This window comes from Homo sapiens, chromosome 7 (assembly GCF_000001405.40).
Source record: "Homo sapiens chromosome 7, GRCh38.p14 Primary Assembly".
NCBI lineage: Eukaryota > Metazoa > Chordata > Mammalia > Primates > Hominidae > Homo > Homo sapiens.
The window spans coordinates 99,319,877-99,342,506 of record NC_000007.14 but is presented as its reverse complement, the minus strand read 5'-3'; the positions used below and the strand labels follow the sequence as shown (position 1 = coordinate 99,342,506).

General features: G+C 44.8%; 1 protein-coding gene and 1 long non-coding RNA gene across 6 annotated transcripts in view, besides 2 other annotated features; one reads left to right on the top strand and one right to left on the bottom strand.

The window, feature by feature from the left end:
• Positions 1-16,609, bottom strand: part of ARPC1A (actin related protein 2/3 complex subunit 1A) — a 40,365-nt gene extending 23,756 nt beyond the window's left edge. The window contains exons 1-3 of one of the 2 annotated variants that reach the window (NM_006409.4): positions 16,503-16,609; positions 9,090-9,182; positions 4,222-4,326 (exon numbers count right to left, since the gene is read on the bottom strand). In NM_006409.4, coding sequence (NP_006400.2) covers positions 4,222-4,326; positions 9,090-9,153 — 169 coding nt within the window. In that variant the 5' untranslated portion in view covers positions 9,154-9,182; positions 16,503-16,609. The remainder of the gene's footprint in view (positions 1-4,221; positions 4,327-9,089; positions 9,183-16,502) is intronic. The other variant, NM_001190996.2, reaches the window with a different exon arrangement.
• Positions 16,329-16,508: a silencer, noted in NCBI's record as "silent region_18405". NCBI's record gives its function as "represses an Ori minimal core promoter by ATAC-STARR-seq in GM12878 lymphoblastoid cells {active_cell/tissue: GM12878}" and the evidence as "EXISTENCE:reporter gene assay evidence [ECO:0000049][PMID:35858748]".
• Positions 16,484-17,043: an enhancer, noted in NCBI's record as "H3K27ac hESC enhancer chr7:98923087-98923646 (GRCh37/hg19 assembly coordinates)". NCBI's record gives its function as "activates a minimal SCP1, AML or CMV promoter by ChIP-STARR-seq in naive H9 embryonic stem cells {active_cell/tissue: H9 hESC(naive)}" and the evidence as "EXISTENCE:reporter gene assay evidence [ECO:0000049][PMID:30033119]".
• The window catches only part of LOC105375421 (uncharacterized), a 47,593-nt gene continuing 41,661 nt past the window's right edge, over positions 16,699-22,630 (top strand). For all 4 annotated transcript variants that reach the window (XR_927798.3, XR_007060450.1, XR_927797.4 and 1 more), the window contains exon 1: positions 16,699-16,993. This is a non-coding gene — a long non-coding RNA (uncharacterized LOC105375421). The remainder of the gene's footprint in view (positions 16,994-22,630) is intronic.

Sequence of the window (22,630 nt, the reverse complement as noted above, 5' to 3'; positions counted from 1 at the left end):
GTGGCGTGATCATAGCTCACTGCAGCCTCAACCTCCCAGGCTCATGAAATCCTCCTACCTCAGCCTCCTGAGTAGCTGAGACTACAGGTGCAAGCCACCATGCCTGGCTAATTTTTTGTAGAGATGGGGTTTCACCATGTTGCCCAGGCTGGTCTTGAACTCCAGGGCTCAAGTGATCTGCCTGCCTCAGCCTCCCAAAGCACTGGGATTACAGGTGTAAGCCTGATCAATATTTATTATTATTAAAAAGAAAAATCATTATCTTTTAGAGATGCAAACTGAAATATGAAACAATATAATGTCTGGGATGTGCTTCAAATTAGTACAGGAAAGGAGAAAGTGAATTGAGAAGAACAAGATTGGCTGTTACTCGATAATCGTGGAATGCAGGTGATGGGTATAAAAGGCTCATTATACTATTCCACTTTTTTAAAAATCTGTTTAAAATTTTCCATGGTAACAAAACATGTTTCTTAAAAATATTTAATACAAAAGAATAAAACCTCAGAACTCTGATATCCCTGATGTTTGCCACACTTCTTTTCTTTGTAGTATGGACTAGTTTTTTCTTCTAGAATGCTTCAGAAAATATTTTTTTCCCCTAAAATTACTATCTTTCTGAGAAAATATGTCTGATCCTTGATCTCCTGCCCCAGAGTTATATTTAGATTTTTCCAACAAGTTATTTCAGATCTAAAAAATGCCATGTGAGCAGCTAGACAGAAAACAGGCCCAAGTTCAAAGGACCCCAAAAGAGAAGTAGAGGGAAAAAAACACATAACTAAATATTTCACATTTTTGGCGATTTCTTTGGTCTTTCATCTTTGCCTTTTCTCATTTAAAAGTATTTCCTTTTAAATTCTAAAATTCCAATTAATTTTTTTTTTTTTTTTTTTTGAGACAGAGTTTTGCTCTTATTGTCCAGGCTGGCGTGCAATGGCACAATCTCGGCTCACCGTAACCTCCGCCTCCCAGGTTCAAGCAATTCTCCTGCCTCAGCCTCCTGAGTAGCTGGGATTACAGGCATGTGCCACCACGCCCAGCTAATTTTGTGTATTTTTAGTAGAAATGGGGTTTCTCCATGTTGGTCACGCTGGTCTCGAACTCCCGACCTCAGGTGATCAGCCCGCCTCAGCCTCCCAAAGGGCTGGGATTACAGGCTTGAGCCACTGCACCCAGCCTAATTTTTTATTTTTTGGAGACAGAGTCTTGCTGTATACCCCAGGCTGGAGTGCAGTGGCGCCATCTCAGCTCACCGCAACCTCTGCCTCCTGGGTTCAAGCGATTCTCATGTCTCAGCCTCCTGAGTAGCTGGGATTACAGGTGCTTGCCACCACACCCGGCTAATTTTTGTATTTTTAGTAGAGACAGGGTTTCACCATGTTGGCCAGGTTGGTCTCAAACTCCCGACCTCAGGTGATCCACCCGCCTCAGCCTCCTAAAGTGTTGGGATTACAGGTGTGAGCCACCGCACCCGGCCTAAAATTCCAATTTAAAATATGAGTATTCTTATTCTTAGGCTATGAGGCCACTGGCAAAGGAACTTAAGAAAATAGGCCAAACCTAATAGAAATAAGATTGTGGGAAAGGAACAGCAACAAAAATAGAAACGCTGTCTTTGGTGCTGCTTTGGAAATATACTCAGCTACTGGTGCTCAAGAGCATTATTTATAAATCACTGGTCAAAGCAAGGGTGGCCATGAGTTATTGCTGAAGAATGCAGGACAACTTCTGTAAAGGATGTAGAATAGCAAAACATGCTAAGTTCTCTCATTTGGGTAAGGATATCTCTAAGCTTATCAGTATTTTAGGTGATTAGAGGTAAAATTGCAGAGTCCAACTAAAAGAATAAAAAATCAGCCTGGGCGACATGGTGAAATCTATCTTTACAAAAAAATTAGCCGGGTGTGCTGGCGCACACCTTTAGTACCAGCTCCTGGGGAGGCTGAGATGGGAGGATCACTTGAGCCCAAGAGGTTGAGGCTGTAGTGAGCCATGATCCTTCTAGCCTGGGTGACTGGGCAACAGAGCCAAGACCCTGTCTAAAAGAAAAAAAAGGGTCACACCTGTAATCTCAACACTTTGGGAGGCCAAGGCAGGCAGATCACTTGATGTCAGGAGCTTGAGACCAGCCTGTCCAATGTGGTGAAATCCCACATCTACTAAAAATACAAAAATTAGCTGGGCATTGTGGCAGGCACCTGTAATCCCAGCAACTCGGGAGGCTGAGGCGGGAGAATTGCTTGAACCTGGAAGGCAGAGGCTGCAGTCAGCCAAGACTGTACCACTCCATTTCAGCCTAGACGACAGAATGACACTCCATCTCAAAACAAACAAACAAACAAACAAACAAACAAAAACAGAAAAAAGACAAAAACTCAATGAAAAAATGATCAGGATTTATGAACAGGACAGTCACAAGGAAGAAAAACTCTCATGGCTAATACACGTCTGAAAGTATCTCAACTTTTCCATGAATCAGGAAAATACAACTTACAGAAGCAATGGATGAACCTTTCATGCATTCTTCAGTCTTCCCATCTCAAGTATGTGGCGGGGTGTGGGAAAATGAGCACTCTCATACAGGACAGGTGGGAATGATGGCAATCTGATGAGGCCTGGCAACACTGCACTGCAGATATGCATACCCTGTGGTATTAACACATCTACCATCTACAAACATTCACACATACGTACAGAAATCAAGGGATGCCTATTCAGCACTTTCATGTAATATGGAAAAATTGAAACAACCTAAATGTTCTTCAGTGGAGGAAGGAGTAAATAAATGAGGTATAAAATGCTAAAGAGTGGTTAAAAGGAATAAACTTGATCTAGACAGCAACATAGATGGATCTCAGAAACAATCATGAATGCAAAAGCAGGCTGCCGGAGATGCATAGTATCATGCCATTTATGTAGCTTCAAAAAAATACTAGTCAATAGTCCTAAAGATTGTTTTCTCTTTTTTCTTTTTTTTGAGATGAGGGTCTTGCTGTGTCACCCAGGCTGGAGTGCAGTGGTGTGATCACAGCTCACTGCAGCCTTGATCTTGTCTCAAGTGGTCCTCCCACTTCAGCCTCACAAGTAGCTGGGACCACAGGTGCATGCCACCACACCGTGCTAACGGGGGGTCTCATTATGTTGCCCAGGCTAGTCTTGGATTCCTGGGTTCAAGCGATCCTCCCGCCTCAGCCTCCCAAAGTGCTGGGATTACAGGTGTAAGCCACTGTGCTTGGCCTAAGCTTGTTTATGAATATGTATGTATGTAAATGTATTAAAAATGGACTGGAATGGTGTCATAGCAAATTATAGTCTGCCTTCCAGGGGAGAGGAATAGGACTGCTGGTGAGAGGTGACTTTACCATCATCAAGAATAATATTCCTTATTATTACATCCTTTTTCCTTAAGTTTCCTGATACAGGAAAAGAAATTACTTCCTGGCACAGGGAAAAAGTTGGTAATTCTGGTGGCGATTATCTGATATGGGTGTTTATTATATTACTTTGTTCTTCTCAATATTCTGGAAAGTCTTCCTTACCCTAAAAACACAAAGGAAACTTTTGGAAGACACTTGGAAATAGTTTGGCGCACGTTTTCGTGTTGTCTACATTTTCATGTTATCTAGCTTTCAATTTCACGTCTCATCTCCTAATTTTAGCTCTTTAGTCCTCAGGGTAGGTTCAGTGCTTTCCATAGCAACGGTAGAGTGCTGGGTACCAGCTGGGGCCACAAGAAGCACTTAACAACTAAGATCATTATAGTATTTTCTTTAAAATTTTAAGGAAATTCAGTAAGTGCTGCATGACTTTAAATATTACGGGCCAGGTGCGGTAGCTCACTCCTGTAATCCCAGCACATTGGGAGGCCGAGGCAGGAGGATCACGAGGTCAGGGGTTCGAGACCAGCTTGACCAACATGGTGAAACCTATCTCTACTAAAAATAAAAAAAATTAGCCAGGCATAGTGGCGCGTGCCTGTAATCCCAGCTACTCAGGAAGCTGAGGCAGGAAAATTACTTGAACCCGGGAGGTGGAGGTTGCAGTGAGCCGAGATTGCGCCATTGCAGTCCAGCCTGGGCGAAAGAGTGATACTCCTTCTCAAAAAAAAAAAAAAAAAAAAAAAAATTATGGCCACCTGGGTTTATTAGGCTCTTTATCTAAAAGGAAGAGTGCCTGATTTGGAAATATCACACTAAGCTCACGGCTATCTTCCTTTACCTGTGATGTGTCCGTTGTGCTCCTTGAGTTCATGAGCTTTCACCCACTGGCTCCCGTTCTTCTTATAGATGTGCACTTCGTGATTATTGGGACTGAGGGCAATCTCTGGAGACACAAGTCAAACAACAGTTAACACCTGAACTTGCAATTGTCACCAAAAAGGGGACATGTCACAGTTGTTTTAAAAGCAGACTATAGTAAGGAAAAGAAAAACTTTTGAAAAAGTAGTTCCCAAATTCACCTCTGAATAATTCCATTTTTTTTTTAACCTTTACTTGGACCCTGTATTTTATAATGCTTTACAGGAAAACTAAGATTAAAATTCATTTTCCCAGAGACACGTACAACTGTCAATTAATGATTCTAACCAGCGAAAAATAAACAATGTTAGTGTACTTAGCTAAAATAACTTTAGATCAGGGTAAAAATGTTTGACAGTTTCATTCACCTGTGCAATATTATTAGAGCTAAATCTAAATTTCTGTTTGTCTTTTTGAAACACTGAAAATAGGTTATGGACTTCCATTACTGCTATCATGGACCCAGGCTGGAACCACTAGTTTATATTAAAAAAATTGATTCTGCTGATAAACTATACTGAAATTCTCCTTTACAATAAAGCCAATATAAATCACAATACTTTGTTTTCAAGAGTAATTTCCTGAACTAATCCAAAATATAATACACAAAACGGACTTTTTAAAAACTCATACAGGTTGAGCATCCCTAATCTGAAAAGCTGAAATCTGACATGCTCCCAAATCCAAAACTTTTTGAGTATCAACATGACACTCAAAAGGTCATGCTCAAACGCAATGCTCTCTGGAACATTTTGGATTTCAGATTTTCATTTTTTTCTTTTTTGAGATAGTGTTTTGCTCTCGTTGCCCAGGCTGGAGTGCAATGGCGCGATCTTGGCTTACTGCAACCTCCGCCTCCCAGGTTCAAGCGATTCTCCTGCCTTAGCCTCCGAAGTAGCTGGGATTACAGGCATGCGCCACCACGCCCAGCTAATTTTGTATTTTTAGTAGAGACAGGGTTTCTCCATGTTGGTCAGGCTGGTTTCAAACTCCCGACCTCAGGTAATCTGCCTGCCTTGGCCTCCCAAGGTGCTGGGATTACCAGCATGAGCCACCAGGCTCAGCTGGATTTCAAATTTTCAGTGCTCAAATCGTATATATTATGCAAATATCCCCAAATCGTAAGTCCAGAAAATTCTGGTCCCAGGCATTTCAGATAAGGGATACTAGACCTGTATTCATGTATCTTTTTTTACCCCATCTAGTTCATCTGTTTTTTTTTTAATTGAATTTAATTTTTATTTTTAGTAGAGACAGGGTCTCACTATGTTGCCTAGGCTGGTCTTTAACTCCTGGCCTCAAGCAATTCTCCTGCCTTGGCCTCCCAAAGCACTAGGATTACAGGCATGAGCCACGATGCCCAGCCCCTCTTTCTTTTTATTGGTTTCTTAAAATTAAAATTAGGATCTATGGGCCAGGCGTGGTGGCTCACGCCTGTAATCCCAGCACTTTGGGAGGTTGAGGCAGGCAGATCACCTGTGATCAGGAGTTCGAGACCAGCCTGGCCAACACGGGGAAACCCCGTCTCTGCTAAAAATACAAAAATTAGCCAGGCCTGGTGGCACGCGCCTGTAGTCCCAGCTACTTGGGAGGCTGAGGCAGGAGAATCGCTTGATCGTAGGAGGCAGAGGCTGCATTTTGGGCCGAGATCACGTCACTGCACTCCAGCCTGGGTGACAGAGTGAGACCCTGTCTCAAAAAAAAAAAAAAAAAAAAAAAAAAAATTAAGACCTATGATCCAAACTTTAGGCCAGTCATTAATAGTCCCCACCTACACTCACTTTCCTACCCTCCTTAGGAAAGCTACATCTATCTGCTTTACAGATAAAACTGTGGAACTAGGTAAATATCTAGCTATAAAATCCTAAGGACTTAAGAGTGCTTTCTGGTAAATAGTTATATATTTCTCTCACTTTCTCACATGTATATAGAGATTTCAAAAGCCAAGTCCAAATTTAAACCTGGAAAATGTTATAAATTTCAAATTACAATGTCACAAAAAATGTTGACTTAATATGCTGAATTTATCAAGTAGTTTAAATGAGGACAATGATAGCTTGCATCTGTATTAAAAATAATTGGAAATACTCCAAAAGCCTATTATTAGATGGGAAAGTGGAAACAGAAGATATAGGAAAGTTGGCTATGAAGCTCTGTGAGATGATCACAAAACACATGCTCTAAATTCACTGTCCTGCTAGGTTATACATTTTCAATTACCCAATACAGAGGCTTTTTTTTTTTTCTTTTTTGAGACTGAGTCTCACTCTGTTGCCAAGGCTGGAGTGCGGTGGCACAATCTCGGCTCACTGCAAGCTCCGCCTCCCAGGTTCACGCCATTCTCCTGCCTCAGCCTCCCGAGTAACTGGGACTACAGGCGCCCGCCACCACACCGGGCTAATTTTTTGTATTTTTAATAGAGATGGAGTTTCACTGTGTTAGTCAGGATGGTCTTGATCTCCTGACCTCGTGATCTGCCTGCCTTGGCCTCCCAAAGTGCTGGGATTACAGGTATGAGCCACCACGCCCAGCCCTGAAATGCTTTAAAAAGATGGTGAATCTACAGATTCAAAGTAATCTCTGTCAAAATCTCAGCTGACGTCTTAAAAGAAATTAACAAACTGATCCTAAAATTCATATGGAAATGCAAGCGACACAATAACCAAAATAATCTTGAAAAGAACAAAGTTGGAACTTACACTTCTTGATTTCAAAACTTACCACCAAGCTATAGTAATCAAGACAGACTGGTCCTGAAATTAGGATAAACATAAAGAACAATGGAATAGAATTGAGAGTCCAGAAATAAACTCTCATCTTTACAGTCAGTTGATTTTCAAAAAGGGGGCCAAGGCAATAAAACAGAGAGGATAGTTTTCAACAAAAGGTGCAGGAAAAACTCGATTATCTTGGCCGGTGTGGTGGCTCATGCCCACTAAGTATATCCCAGCACTTCGGGAGGCCAAGGCAGGTGGATTGCTGGAGGCCAGGAGTTCGAGGCCAGTCTGGGTGACATAGCGCATCCCTGTCTCTACTGAAAATACAAAAATTAGCCAGGTGTGGGCCGGGCGCAGTGGCTTACACCTGTAATCCCAGCACTTTGGGAGGCCAAGGCGGGCAGATCACGAGGTCAGGAGATTGAGACCATCCTGGCTAACAGGTGAAACCCTGTCTCTACTAAAAATACAAAAAAAATTAGCCGAGCATGGTGGCTGGTGCCTGTAGTCCCAGCTACTCAGGAGGCTGAGGCAGGAGAATGGTGTGAACCCCGGAGGCGGAGCTTGCAGTGGGCCAAGATTGTGCCACTGCACTCCAGCCTGGGCGACAGAGCGAGACTGCGTCTCAAAAAAAAAAATATTAGCCAGGTGTGGTGGCGCATGCATGTAATCACAGCTTCTTGGGAGGCTCAGACATGATAATCACTTGAACCTGGGAGGCGGAGGTTGCAGTAAGCCGAGATTGCACCACTGCACTCCAGCTTGGATGACAGAGCAAGACTCTGTCTCAATAAATAAATAAATAAATAAACACAGAAAAAAAGAAGAAAAAAATGAAAACTGGATATCTACATACAAAAGGAACCCTATCTTACAGGATACACAAAAATTAACTCAAAATGGACCAAAGTCCTACATAAAAGGACTAAAGCTTTAAGACTCTTAGAAGGAAACACAGGCATAGGCACACATTGTTGTGATCCTGGATTATGCAATGGTTTCTTTGATACAACAGCAGAAGTACAAGCAACAAAAGAAAAATAAGCGAAATTGGACTTTTTCTCCCCAATCCTGCTCTTTCTGTGTTTTTATTATTTAATTATTATTGTTATTATTTTTTTTTTTGAGAAAGAGAGTCTTGCCCTGTCACCCAGGCTGGAGTACAGTGGCACAATCTCAGATCACTGCAACCTCTGCCTCCCGGATTCAAGCGATTTTCCTGCCACAGCCTCCTGAGTAGCTGGGATTACAGGCAGGTACCACCACACCTGGTTAATTTTTTTTATTTTTAGTAGAGATGGGGTTTCACCATGTTGGCCAGGCTGATCTCGAACTCCTGACCTCAAATGATCTGCCCGCCTCGGTCTCCCAAAGTGCTGGGATTACAGACATGAGCCTCCATGCTCAGCCTTGTGACAAAGCGAGACTCTGTCTCAAAAAAAAAAAATACATATATATGTGTGTGTGTGTGTGTGTGTGTGTGTACACACACACACAGTTTTTCTATTTTTTTTCGTAGAGACAGGGTTTCCCCATGTTGCTCAGGTTGGTCTTGAACTCTTGAGCTCAAGATATTTGCCTGCCTTGGCCTCCCAAAGTGCTGGGATTACAGGCAGGAGCCACTGCACCCAGCCTCATCTTGTCATATTATCTGTCACTTTGCTTGCTGAACTGTGCCTACTTCTAAGAGCATTCTCCATCCCTTTCTAGTTTGCTGGAGCTAGAAAACTAGAAACTCAAGCTGACTAAGAATAACATAGTAAATACTAGTTAATAATGCTCTGAGTAGCTCAGGAGCAAACCACTTGTCTCTGAAACAGCTTATTCTAGGTCCTAGTGCTCTGACTAAATGTGAACTTGGTATGTAACCTCTGCAAAGCCCTTCCTTCACTCTGGGCCTCAGTTTATCTATCTGTAAACCAAAGGACTGACTTAGTTCCCTTCTGAATGTATATAATAGATGTATGTTCTTTGCACATGTGATACTGAGATATGTGAGCCCTAAATGTGTCTAAAGATGAAATGTACCAAAGGTACCAAAATACAAAAGCAAAGTTAATAAAATACTTACGAGTACGATCCCTGTTCCAGGCATGACAGGTGATTGGCTCTAGTAAAAACTGATGCAGTGACATTATTCTTAGTGTTTTCAAAGGAGAGAAAGCTGCAATGAACAATAACAAAAAGCATTTTATACAATAGGGAAAAGGCAAGTAACCAATGTTTAAGTTGCCTGAGGATCTTAAGATGTTCGGAAATAAATAAAACATTGTCCTCCCATTAAAAAATAATCTGGCCAGGCACGGTGGCTCACGCTTGTAATACTAGCACTTTGGGAGGCCAAGGCAGGTGGATCACAAGGTCAGGAGTTCAAGACCAGCCTGGCCAACCTGGTGAAACCCAGTTTCTACTAAAAATACAAAAATTAGCTGGGCGTGGTGGCACACGCCTCTAGTTCCAGCTACTCGGGAGGCTGAGGCAGGAGAATTGCTTGCATCCAGGAGGCAGAGGTTGCAGTGAATCAAGATCATGCCACTGCACTCCAGCCTGGGCGACAGAGCGAGACTCTGTCTCAAAAAAAAAAAGGCCGGGCATGGTGGTCACACCTCTAATCCCAGAACTTTCTTTGGGAGGCCAAGGCAGGCAGGTCACGAGGTCAGGAGATCCAGACCATCCTGGCTAACACGGTGAAACCCCGTCTCTACTAAAAATACAAAAAATTAGCCGGGCATGGTAGCGGGCGCCTGTAGTCCCAGCTACTTGGGAGGCCGAGACAGGAGAATGGCGAACCTGGGAGGTGGAGCTTGCAGTGAGCCGACATCGCGCTACTGCACTCCAGCCTGGGCGACACAGTGAGATTCTGTCTCAAAAAAAAAAAAAAAAATCTATCTCATTGTCAAAACTTAACCATCTGAATAAATCTAGCATTGTAACAACTAATGTGGAATTTATTCTGTTCAGGGTCGTCAATGGACTCTTAAACCATGGGTACAGGATATTCCTAGTCTCAAATTATCATCCCACAGATTGCTTATTAACTACAAAGAGAAAAAGATGCCTTTACGTTGAAGAAATCTGGCAATCACCACGTAATCACCATGTTATAAATAGTGGATCAATCTAACTGGATGGGCCTCCTGATGGCAGTCCACATGAAGTACACATCGTCACTTATAAATAGTGACTTAACGTACCATCCAAACCAGAACACTTCTGAGAGCAAAAATAAATAATAATTATGCCAACACAACAGGTCACAGGGCTATCCTGGAGAAACCTGGGAATATGGTCAACCTACCAATGAAGTCTCTATGCCAAACATATTTACTCTAAATCCAATCAAGATTCAGATCTAATTTTCAGTTTACAAGAAATAAAGGATAAAGGAACTAGTCAAGCAACACAAGGAGGAAATAAACAGTTAAAGCCAGGGTGTGTGCCATTCTATAGAAGAACTGGCCTGGACTATTCCAAAAAGGCAATATGGAGGCAGGATGAGAACTGTTCTAGAGAGCTATGAAAACCAAATTTGATAAGTGAAAGTTGATTATAATATAATTTCTTTTTTTTGAGACAGAGTCTCACTCTGTTGCCCAGACTGGAGTACAGTGGCACCATCTCAGCTCACTGCAACCTCCACTTCCTGGACTCAGGTGATCCTCCTGCCTCAGCCTCCTGAGTAGCTGGGATTACAAGTGTGCACCACCAGGCCCAGCTAATTTTTGTATTTTTAGTAGAGATGGACTTTCACCATGTTGGCCAGGCTGGTCTTGAACACCTGGCCTCAAGTGACCCGCCCTCCTCAGCCTCCCAAAGTGCTGAGATTACAGGTGTGAGCCACTGTGCCTGGCCCATAATCCACATTTTAAAAAATGGGCAGAAAAGATGTATTTTGTATAACAGGGAAAATTACAATTTAAACTAGATATTACATATGGAATTATTTTCATTTTCTTAGGTGTGATAACGGTATTGCCATTAGATAGGAGAATGTCCTAGCTCTTAGGAGACAAAGATAATGATGAAGTGTTCAGGGATGAAGTATCATGATGTCTTCTGTAACTTCTTTTCTTTTTTTGGGTGGGGGGCAGGGGAGATAGGGTCTTGCTCTCTCACCCAGGTTTGGAGGGCAGTGGTGCAATCTATGCTCACTGCAGCCTCCGTCTTCTGGCCTCAAGTGATCCTCCCACCTCAGCCTCCTGAGTAGCTGTGGCTACAAGCATGCACCACCAAGCCCAGGTAATTTTTGTAGAGATGGGGTTTCACCATGTTGCCCAGGCTGCTCTGACTGGGCTCAAGTGATCCACCTGCCTCAGCCTCCCAAAGTGCTGGGATTACAGGCATGAGTCACCATGCCCAGCCACTGTAACTTATTTTCAATAGTTCAGGACAGAAAATATATAGAATGTGAATGTGGCAAAATGCTAACTGGTGAATCTAGGCAAAGAGTATGTAGGCGTTTGTGATAATACTTTTTAAACTTTTAATTGTAACTAAATGAAAAGCAGGAATCTGCAAAACATTAAATTAAAAATTCTCTATTTTATAGGTACCCAAATCTAGATACACTTGAAGAAGCAACCATTAACTGAAATGGGAACATTTTTCAAAAAGCAGCCAGCCTTCCTCTACCCCCAACTTTATCATTTCCAGGAGGCACCCTCACAATAAACTCAAGTTTCAACACACGTAAGTATGTGTCATGTTAACCTTGGGTGGAGGCTGAAATGTGAGATATGAATTCTGATGCAAGCAGGAAATGAATGGAAGGGCCACTAGAAGGTTGTAAAGTGAACAATGAAAGTTCAGCTGACAAAGCAGAAATCAGTCTCAGAAAGCAGAAGCAGCACCTCTGCTAATTGTAAAGGAACCCAGGCCAGGCATGGTGGCTCAAGCCTGTAATCCCAGCACTTTGGGAGGCCGAGGTGGGCGGATCACCTGAGGTCGGGAGTTCGAGACCAGCCTGGCCAACATGGCGAAACCCTATCTCTACTAAAAATACAAAAATCAGACGGGCATGGTGGCAGGCACCTGTAATTCCAGCTACTCAGGAGGCTGAGGCACAAGAATCTCTTGAACATGGGAGGCGGAGGTTGCAGTGAGCCAAGATGGTGCCACTGCACTGCAGCCTAGGTGACAGAGTGAGACTCTGTATCAAAACAAAACAAACAAACAAACAAAAAGGGGGGGGGAACCCAAAGGTAAGTGCAACTTTAAATAAAAAACATCTGATACCTTGAACTGGCAGAGAAATGCTAGCATTTCATATTCTATTCTAAGAGTGAAGATAGTTAAGTCATTACTTTTTTCTTTTATACAGTCGAGAAAGCAAACTACAACTAACAAAGAAAAAGCTTAGGAATTGGCAATTTAAAAAAATTTTAAATGCATTCAAATGAGAATGTTTAATTTGTTTTTTTTTTTTACAAGAACTTCCAGATGCTCACTGCATGCTTCTCTCTTTATCTCTGATATCAGATGCTCACTCCAAATTGTTCCATCACAACAGATTTTAGTAACAGCTACTCAAAATAACATGCTGTTATAACTCCTTAATTAAAAGCGCTTTAGTTCAAAAGCCACATTTGATAAGCTTATTTGTTAACTAAAAATAAAATCGGTCTGCAAATCAGAAATTTGATGTGAATATCTACGTGCCATAAAAGTACATGGTTCATGTCCAGTTGAAAAGTACAGCTGCAGACAAAAGGCTTTCTCATGTTCAACTCAGTGTTTTATAAGCAATGTAGCAAAGACTTCAAAAGAGGTGGCCATTTACACAACAGTGTAATTACTTCTAAAATTGCATTTCTAATTTTGCCATATCATTCAAGTTCCATATTTGGACATACACTTAAGACCTGTACTTCTTTTATAATCAGGTGGCTATTTTAAGTCTGCAGGCCAAGACAACACTCATGTTTGTCAAATTTAGAATGCACCTAGCAAACACCACTTGCATTCATGAAACCCAGTGAATGCAGAAGAAATTCCTAATAGCTTGAATTATGTACCAAGAAAGGGTACCTTCTGTCATAGGGTGATAATTATAATTTCTAAACTATGGTTAATGTTTAAGTGAAATCTGAAAAGCTTTGTCTTAATAGAGCTAGAGAGGGAGAAAAGGGGACAAATAAAAATGCCAGGAACTCCTCATCCCTTTTCTTTATTTTCTTTTTTTTTTTTTTGAGACGGAGTCTCGCTCTGTCGCCCAGGCTGGAGTACAGTGGCACGATCTCGGCTCACTGCAAACTCTGCCTCCCGGGTTCACGCCATTCTCCTGCCTCAGCCTCCCGAGTAGCTGGGACTACAGGGGCCCGCCACCACACCCGGCCAATTTTTTTGTATTTTTAGTAGAGATGGGGTTTCACCGTGTTAGCCAGGATGGTCTCGATATCCTGACCTCGTGATCCGCCTGCCTCGGCCTCCCAAAGTGCTGGGATTACAGGCGTGAGCCACCGCGCCCTGCCCCTCATCCCTTTTCTTTTCCTCCCTCCCTCCCCCCTCATCCCTTTTCTCTCTCTCTGAGTTTTTTTCTCAGACAAGGTCTTGCTCTGTCACCCAGGCTGGACTGCAGTGGTGTGATCTCAGTTCACTGCAACCTCGGCTTCCCAGGGTCAAGCCATCCTCCCACTTTAGCCTCCTGAGTAGCTGGGACCACAGGCATGCATCACTATGCCCTGCTAATTTTTTAGTTTTTTGTAAAGACAGGGGTCTCCCTATGTTGTCCAGGCTGGTCTCAAACTCCTGGGCTCAAGTGATCTGCCCACTTCAGCCTCCCAAAGTGTTAAGATTGCAAGCATGAGCCACCATGCCCGGCCCCCACCCCTTTTCTTTATCTATCACTGAGTACAGAGTCATTCTGATGTATGGCTAGCCATGGGCTCTGAAGCCGAGGCTGGGTTTGAACCCTGGCTTTTGACACACACTAGCTATGAAACCCTGGGCAAGTCACTTGATATCTCTAAATCTCATTTTTTTCTTCTGTAAAGTGGATATACCACTGAGATCACAAGGAGAATTAAATGAGACATGTGAAAGCAAGTAGTACAGAGCCTAGCCTGAAATACATGCCAGCAGGTTCCCTTTCTCCCTTTGACCCAAGGCTTTTCTATTTTTTAAATGGAGTTTTGCTCTTGTTGCCTAGGCTGGAGTGAAATGGTGTGATCTCAGCTCACCGCAACCTCCGTCTCCCGGGTTCAAGCGATTCTCCAGCCTCAGCCTCCTGAGTAGCTGGGATTACAGGCACGTGCCACCATGCCTGGCTAATTTTGTATTTTTAGTAGAGACGGGGTTTCTCCATGTTGGTCAGGCTGGTCTCAAACTCCTGACCTTGGTGATCCACCCGCCTCAGCCTCTCAAAGTGTTGGGATTACAGGCGTGAGCCACTGCACCTGGCCAACTCAAGGCTTTTAAACCAACCATAGAACCCACCAGTTAGTTTCCTCTGAGCTTGGAAACGTTGACATATGCTATAAATTCTTGGCCCTACTCCTTTGGAGCTTGAAAATGCCCACAAAAGTGGGCATTTCTGTCCCCTGTTTAGGGTCAGTTTTCAAGACCGTGATTCACCTAGTTCCTAATCACTCTCATTAGCCAATCTAGCAACATCAAGTACTCCAACAAGGTCACCACACCCTCCTCAACATTCAGACAGGCTCCAGTCCAGGCACCAGCCTCACCAGCAGACCATTTTAAACTTCTTTATATAGGATTTGTTTCAGCATTGGATGAGACAACTAGATCAAAGTATCACCACTCCGCGTCCAAAATAGGAGTTTTCCGAAATGGTCCCTTCCTTTAACTGTGATTAACAGATGAACTCCAGAAGATCTCTGAATACTTTGTGGGAGAAAATAGCCATATAAGCTGGGTGTGGTGTCTCACACCCAAAATCCCAGCACTTTGGGAGGTCGAGGTGGGAGGATAGCTTGAGCTTAGGAGCTCCAGACCAGCTTGGGCCACATATGGAGACCCTGTCTTTACAAAAAATACAAAAAAAAAAAAAAAATTAGCCAGGCGCAGTGGCTCATGCCTGTAGTCACAGCTACTCGGGAGGCTGAGGCAGGAGAATCGCTTGAACCCAGGAGGTGGAGGTTGCAGTGAGCCAAGATCACACCACTGCACTCCAGTCTGGGTGACAGAGTGAGACTCTATCTCCAAAAATAAGTAAATAAAAATAAATGAAAATTAGCCCAGTGTGGTGGCACACGCCTGTAGTCCCAGCTACTCAGGAGGCTGAGGTGGGAGGATCTGTTAAGCCCAGGAGGTCGAGGCTGCAGGAAAAAAAAAAAAAAGGAAGACAACAACCACAGTTACCCACTCCCTAACAGGACAAAAACACCTTCCTGACTGATGCCCCTCCTCTGTTTTTAGATACCTGAAAACCCAGGCCCTATGTGAAACCACAAGACTAGATAAAATTGAGGAGAGAGGGCAGAACTAAGATAATCTCGGCAATTTAAGCTACGAGTTGACATAGACAGAAGGTTCCAAAGCTGCAGGAGAACAGATGGCTTTATAATCAAAGATTCTAAGCTATAACTGATTAAGTGCCTATCATGTTCCCAGCAGTGTTGTAAATACCGGGATGGGGCTAGAAACATAAATAAGGCTGACACCATTCTGGTCTTCAAGTCTGGAGGGTTGGTGTTTGGGGAGAGTGGAGGAGATAGAAAAGGAAAGGAAGACGGATATGCATAGAATGCCCAGAAGCAGTAATAATAGCTAATATTTATTGATCACCTACTCTCGGCCAGGAACTATTCTAAGCAATTTATGCAAATAAGCTCACTTGATTCTTAGCAAAACGGTAAGAATCTTTTTATTGCAGATGAGGAAACAGGCGCAGAGAAGCATCTTCCCAGGATCACTCAACAAAGTGGTGGTGCCAGGACTGGCATAAAAGATTCCACTAAATGAATAAGAGCGCCGAGAAGGGTGCAATTTTGACTTGGGGGAAGGCGGTACTCATGCAGGGAAATCTTAAAAGAACTCGGGAGAAGGTTTTTCTCGAGATCGAGAAGGTTCCCCATTAACCGAAGGATTGAGGGCTGCCCTAGAGAGCAGGCAAACATCCTATGGGCGCCTACTGTATGCAGGGATCGACTCTAGACACTAAAGAGATGAATAGTCCCGCGGGTCGCTCGATTACGGGAGATCCTCCTACTTGACACAATTTTAGAGACGGTGACAAATGCCCCCAGCAGAGGTGCAAGTAGGACCCTGGGGGCGCAGAAGGGGCCGTTAATTCGGGCATCGGAGGCGGCTAGGAGCTCGAACATCCTGAGAAAAGCTGCAGGGGATCCACGGAGAAAGGGGATCCCCGCCCCCTCAGGAGGCCCCGGCAGGGAGACCCGGCCGCGCCTCAGCCTCGGGGCCCCGCGGCCTGAGCCCCCGTCTCACTGCCCCCGCGGCAAGTCCGGCGCCAGGCCTGGACAAGAGAGGCCGACAGGGTGAGACGCTCGCCCCTGCTGGCCGTTACCTGGGATCGGGGGAGTCCGGACGGGCTCGGAGCGGAGGATTCGCGGACTCTGGGCAGTCGACGCGAACAGGCTCCGTCGGGCGCGGGCGGAGGACGGAAGCCCAGAGGGAGCGGCTGACAGATCCCGGAAGTGGACACGGCGCCTGCGCGTTGCGACCGCGCGGACGGTCCGCGCATGCGCACAGCTCGGGCGCGCAGTCCGGGGTTAGGCAGGCTGCAGTGGAGGAGGGTACGCCGTTCCATTGGCGTGGTACTGTCGGCGGCCCTTCAGAGGAGATGCTGCCCCACGGAACGCCTGGCAAGTGCTGGCGAAGCGGCATGGGCGTCCCACTCCGTTCCTCAACCAATTTCCTCACAATCGCGAGCCGAAGTGTGGCGCTTTGGCAGTTTCGCAAGGTCTTTTGTCAGGAGATGAGTTACTGAGGATTGGGGGTCTTTGGAGCTCTTGGACCTGAAGAACGATTAAGTTTTTCTCCCTTCAGAGAGCCAAGGTCAGAGCCAGTCTACCTCAGCGCTGCTCCCTGCAGGGAGCCTCCGCCCCCGCCGTGCTCCCTCTGTGGAAAGCCCCTGAAGCCCCCCAGGAACTTTCTCGACCCTTCCTGGGACAGAATCCCCTGCTCCCAAGCAGTTCCCTGCTCCCAAGATGGCGCAGCAGGGATAAAAGGGTTGGGGGAACTTGGCAAGGCCCCCAATTCACAGAGGACAGAGCCTGCCCCGCAGATGCAGCCTCCAAGAAATGCCCTGATCCCCACCTGCAATCAGGCTGCTGCCCTTGAACCCTAGAAATTCTGGAGCATCCCCAGCCCCCACAGATGGGGCTAATCGAGAGCTTTTCTTTTTTCTTTTTTTTTAGACAGGTTCTCAACCTGTAGCCCAGGCTGGAGTGCAGTGGCGCGATCATAGCTAACTGCAGCCTGGAACCCCTGGGCTCAAGCGATCCTCCCGCCTCAGCCCCCCGTGGAGCTGGGACTACAAGTGCACACCACCACGCCTGGCTAATTTTTATTTTTTGGTAGAGACAGGGTCTTGCTGTGTTGCTTAGGCTGGTCTTGAACTCCTGGGCTCAAGCGATCGTCCCTCTTTGGCCTCTCAAAGCCCTCAGATTACAGGTGTGAGCCACTGTGCCTGGCTAATTTTTATATTTTTTGTAAAGATGAGGTTTTCCTATGTTGTCCAGGCTGGTCTTGAACCCCTGGGCTCAAGCAATCCTCTAGCCTCTGCTTCCCAAAGCGATGTGAGCTCCCCCCCGCCGCCGCCCAGCGCCATGCCAGGCCAACCAAGGGCTTGTCTCCTTCCCTTTGGTATTGTAAGGTGAGGTTTATGTAGGTATACTTGTCAAACTCTCAATTTCAGACCCGCTGTGATCTTTTTGAGACGGAGCCTTTCTCTGTCGCCCAAGCTGGAGTGCAGTGGCGCGATCTCGGCTCACTGTAACCTCCGCCTCCCGGGTTCAAGCGATTCTCCTGCCTCAGCCTCCCGAGTAGCTGGGACTACAGCTGCGCGCCACCATGCCCGGCTAATTTTTGTATTTTTAGTATAGACGGGGTTTTGCAATGTTGGCGACGCTGGTGTCGAACTCCTGACTTCAGGTGATCCCGCCTGCCTCAGCCTCCCAAAGTGCTAGGGTTACAGGCGTGAGCCACCATGCCCTGCCAGACCCGCTATGTTCTTTGGAGTTAGTGCAGAGTTCCCCAACTCCTTGGCTGCTGACGGGTGTTGGTCTGTTGCCTGTTAGGAACCCATTGGCACATGAGGTGAGCAGGGCGAGCCAACGAAGTGTCATCTGTATTTACAGCCGCTCCCCATCTCTGGCATTACGGCCTGAGCTCTGCCTCCTGTCCAATCAGTGGGGGCATTAGAGTCTCATAGGAAAGTGAACCCTATTGTGAACTGCATATGCGAGGGATCTAGGTTGCATGCTCATTATGAGAATCTAATGCCTGATGATCTAAAACCACCCCACCCCTCTCCCCTAGCCCCTGCCCCCTTTTCCGTGGAAAAATTGTCTTCCATGAAACCGGTCACTGCTGCCAAAAAGATTGGGGACCACTGAGTTAGTGAATCCAGCTGTTCATGGAACATCGCTTCACTGAAATTCTGATTTTAACTCTGACCTGTGGTTACAAAGTCTTTGGTCATAGGGTAATCGAGCAGATAGTGTAGAAAGATCATTGTAAATTCATTACCCCCTCCAAGAGACAGCTTGGGAAAGGGAGGACAGCAGGTGTGGAAAGCAGGGATTCCTTGTGTGTCTGCAAGTTACTTGAACCAATTCCCAAGTATGTAGAGGAGTTTATGAAGATCCCACCTCTTTACAAGGAACACTTACTGCTTTGATGGAATTTATAATCTGGGTAGATGAGAGTAACACATGCAAATTAATACCAGACTTTATGATAAGTGACAAGAAATGTTAGCCCCAGAAAAAAATAACAGATATTTACTATTATTAATCTCTGGTTCTGATTTGAAATAGTATTTTGCAATTTAGCCTAACCAAAGCTTACCATTTGATGCATTTCACTTTTTTTTTTTTTTTTTGAGATGGAGTCTCACTCTGTCACCCAGGCTGGAGTGCAATAGTGCGATCTTGGCTCACTGCAACCTCTGCCTCCCAGGTTCAAGCGATTCTCCTGCCTCAGGCTCCTGAGTAGCTGGGATTACAGGCACACGCCACCATGCACAGCTGATTTTTGTATTTTTAGTAGAGACAAGGTTTCACCATGTTGGTCAGGCTCGTCTCGAACTCCTGACCTCATGATCCTCCCGCCTCGGCCTCCCAAAGTGCTGGGATTACAGGCGTGAGCCACCACACCCGGCCCACTTCATATTTTATGAGTCATTCCAGATGGTAGAATCTTAGCTCTAAGCGGGGCTCTTCTGTAATTGAAGAAAAAGAAAAATTTTGACACTTGAGGAATTTTTTTGTTTTGTTTTGTTATGCGACAGTGTCTGGCTCTGTCACCGAGGCTGGAGTGCAGTGGCGTGATCTCAGCTCACTGCAACCTCCACCTCCCTGGTTCAACCGTTTCTCATGCCTCAGCCTCCTGAGTAGCTGGGATTACAGGCGCGTGCCACCACACCTAGCTAATTATTGTATTTTTAGTAAAGATGGGATTTTGCCATGTTGGCCAGGCTGGTTTTGAACTCTTGGCCTCAAGTGATCCACACACCTTGGCCTCCTAAAGTGCTGGGATTACAGGCATGAGCCACCAAGCCTGGCCTGAAACCTGAGGGTTTTGATACAAGGCAGGGAGGGTTGGGGGGCTGGCCACCTGCTCTGGCCTTACTGGTTATACCATCGTGCCCTGCTATAAAAGCCAACCATCAGGGTTCTAAGGAGGGTGAGTTACTTTTAATGTTTGTTTTTAAGGCATGTGTGATGTAGTATCCAAAATGCAGACTCAACCTTTTAAAAGATTAGTATCATGGGTGAGGGGCAGCTGTCTGGGCTGGTGGTACGTGGGTAAAAGGATTTACCAAGACAGTTGTAGATAAAGGCAGATTTGTTAGAGAAAGTAGGAAGGTACGAGAAGGCAACAGGCAGAATCAGCAGAAGAGCAGCCAACTGCAAAGAAAGGCTTGCTGGGGATTTTATGGAATAGTGTTTATGCTGTAATTGTTGGGCGCAGGAAGATTGTGAGTTATTTGCAGAGGAGGGCTGTGTGTCTGGACCATAAAGAATGGCAGACTTGTAGTTTACCTGCTTCTTTTTGCTTCCCCCTGCTCCCACCATCCTGACTCCTTTTCCCTAATTAGACTTAACAATTAGTGCCAGGGAAGGTGGTACTTAGAAGTGGGCAATGGAAGAGAGGGAGGGGTTGGACACTACCGTGGGCTGATTTTGTTTGCTTTGCTGATTGGATTGGAATTGGAATTGAGTTGAATTAGAATTTGGTCAAGATTCAAGGCATCAAATATTTAATAAATACTCACCAAGTGCCAACTATTGTGTTAATAAGAGTAGAGTAAGATCCTTCTGTTCTCAAGTAACTTAGAGATTAGGATATGACCAGTCCACAAAATATTTTATCTTATTTTTAGACCAGGGATGCTGCTAAAATAATTTTAAATAAAAGGAAATGCACAATACCTTGAATCTGGAAGGTCCTGGTTAACATTCGTTGAATGAAAGTGCAAATGAATGAAAGAAAACAATTTGGATGTCAAAGGACACAGAGGTTACTGCTAGTTGAGAATGGAAGGTGGGGCTTATATAGACACATCAGGAACATAATCCATCATAGTTTAGGAAGGTTACATGTTTGTAAAGGCGTAAGGATTTCCTTCTCAGGAGAGCTTGATTTAATAACTGGAATGTGGAGTTGGAGAGTAAGAAGATTGTTTCTTGCTTGTTGTGCCAACAGCTGAAATGGTGAACAATTACTGCAGATCTTCCAATAATGCCTGCCATCTAGTCACCAAAAAAACTGTTGGAAATACTGAATCAATGCCAATAAAAGCTATAAACAAACAAAAGGACAAAACTATTAATGCATATTGTGTGTTATTAGTTAACAATAATCCTTATGCTTTAGATATTGTCCTAATTGCTGGGTATGTTCCCAGTGAGGAAAACTTCCTATGGAAAGGATTTTGTAGAGTTCAATACAGGTGAACTGAAAAGTGCATGTGGATTTTTCCACTGCTCACTCAGTTCATTTCCATAGGACAGAGATGGGACCAGTCACGGGATGTCTAGGGGCACAGGGTAGTCTCAGGTGGTGTGTATAAATAGCATATTATCGCAAATACCATACTTGTAAGACAATCATACAAGCAGACTTGGGAATTCCCTGTGTTACTTACCTAATTTAATAAGTGAAATCTGTAACCCATGAACCTGTAAATCTCCTCAAGGCCAGAGCCACTTAGACATTTTGTTACCGACACATTTTTCCATGTTATGCAAGCTTAGATTATTTTAATAAAATCATTCTGGAGCCATCTAGCACCCTCATCCACCAGTCATTTCATTAGCATAGAGAGACACACTTATCACTCCAGAGATTGCAAAGGTCTTAAAAGCTCCTGTGTGAGGAACTGGGAGCTAAGACCAAATATTATAACAAAAGATGTTTCAGTTACTGATGGACAAGTACAAGGTGTGTGGGAAGGGACACAGAGCTTCCATATCCTCTGGGCACACCACCCTCCCAGCACCACCACGTGTTCTCTAACCCAGATGCTCTCCAAACCTCATCATTTAAGGTTTTTATGGATGTTCTATAATGTAGGCATGATTGATTAAATCACTGGCCATTGGTAATTGAAATAAATCTCCAGCTCCTCTCATCCCTGGAGGTGGAGGGGTGGGACTGAAAATTCCTACCCTCTAATCACAGAGTTGGTTCCTCTGGCAATTAGTTTCTTTCTGGAACCATCTAGCACCCTCATCCACCAGACATCTCATTAGCATACAAAAAGACACTTACCACTCCAGAGATTCCAAGGGGCTTAAAAGCTCCTACGTGAGGAACTGGGAGCTAAGACCAAATATTATAACAAAAGAGGTTAGGCTGGGCACGGTGGTTCACAGCCTGTAATCCAGGCACTTTGGGAGGCTGAGGTGGGTGGATCACCTGAGGTCAGGCATTCGAGACTAGCCTGGCTCACCCGGCAAAACCCTGTCTCTGCTAAAAATACAAAGATTAGCCTGGCGTGGTGGCAGGCACCTGTAATCCCAGCTACTCGGGAAGCTGAGGCAGGAGAATCGCTTGAACTGGAGATGCAGAGGTTGCAGTGAGCCGAGATCACCCCACTGCACTCCAGCCTGGGGGATACAATGAGACTGTCTCAAAAAAAAAAAAAAGATGTTCCTCTCACCCCTGTTATACAGGGTAGTATAACAATTTTAAAAGCTCTGTGTCAGAAACAAAATAGATATTTCTTTTTTTGTTTTTTGAGATGGAGTCTCGCTCTGTCGCCCAGGCTGGAGTGCAGTGGCGTGATCTCGGCTCATTGCAACGTCCGCCTCCCAGGTTCAAGCGATTCTCTTGCCTTAGCCTCCCGAGTAGGTGGGACTATAGGCATGTGTCATCATGCCCAGCTAATTTTTTGTATTTTTAGTAGAGATGGGATTTCTCCATGTCGGCCAGGATGGTCTCGAACGCCTGACCTCAAGTGAT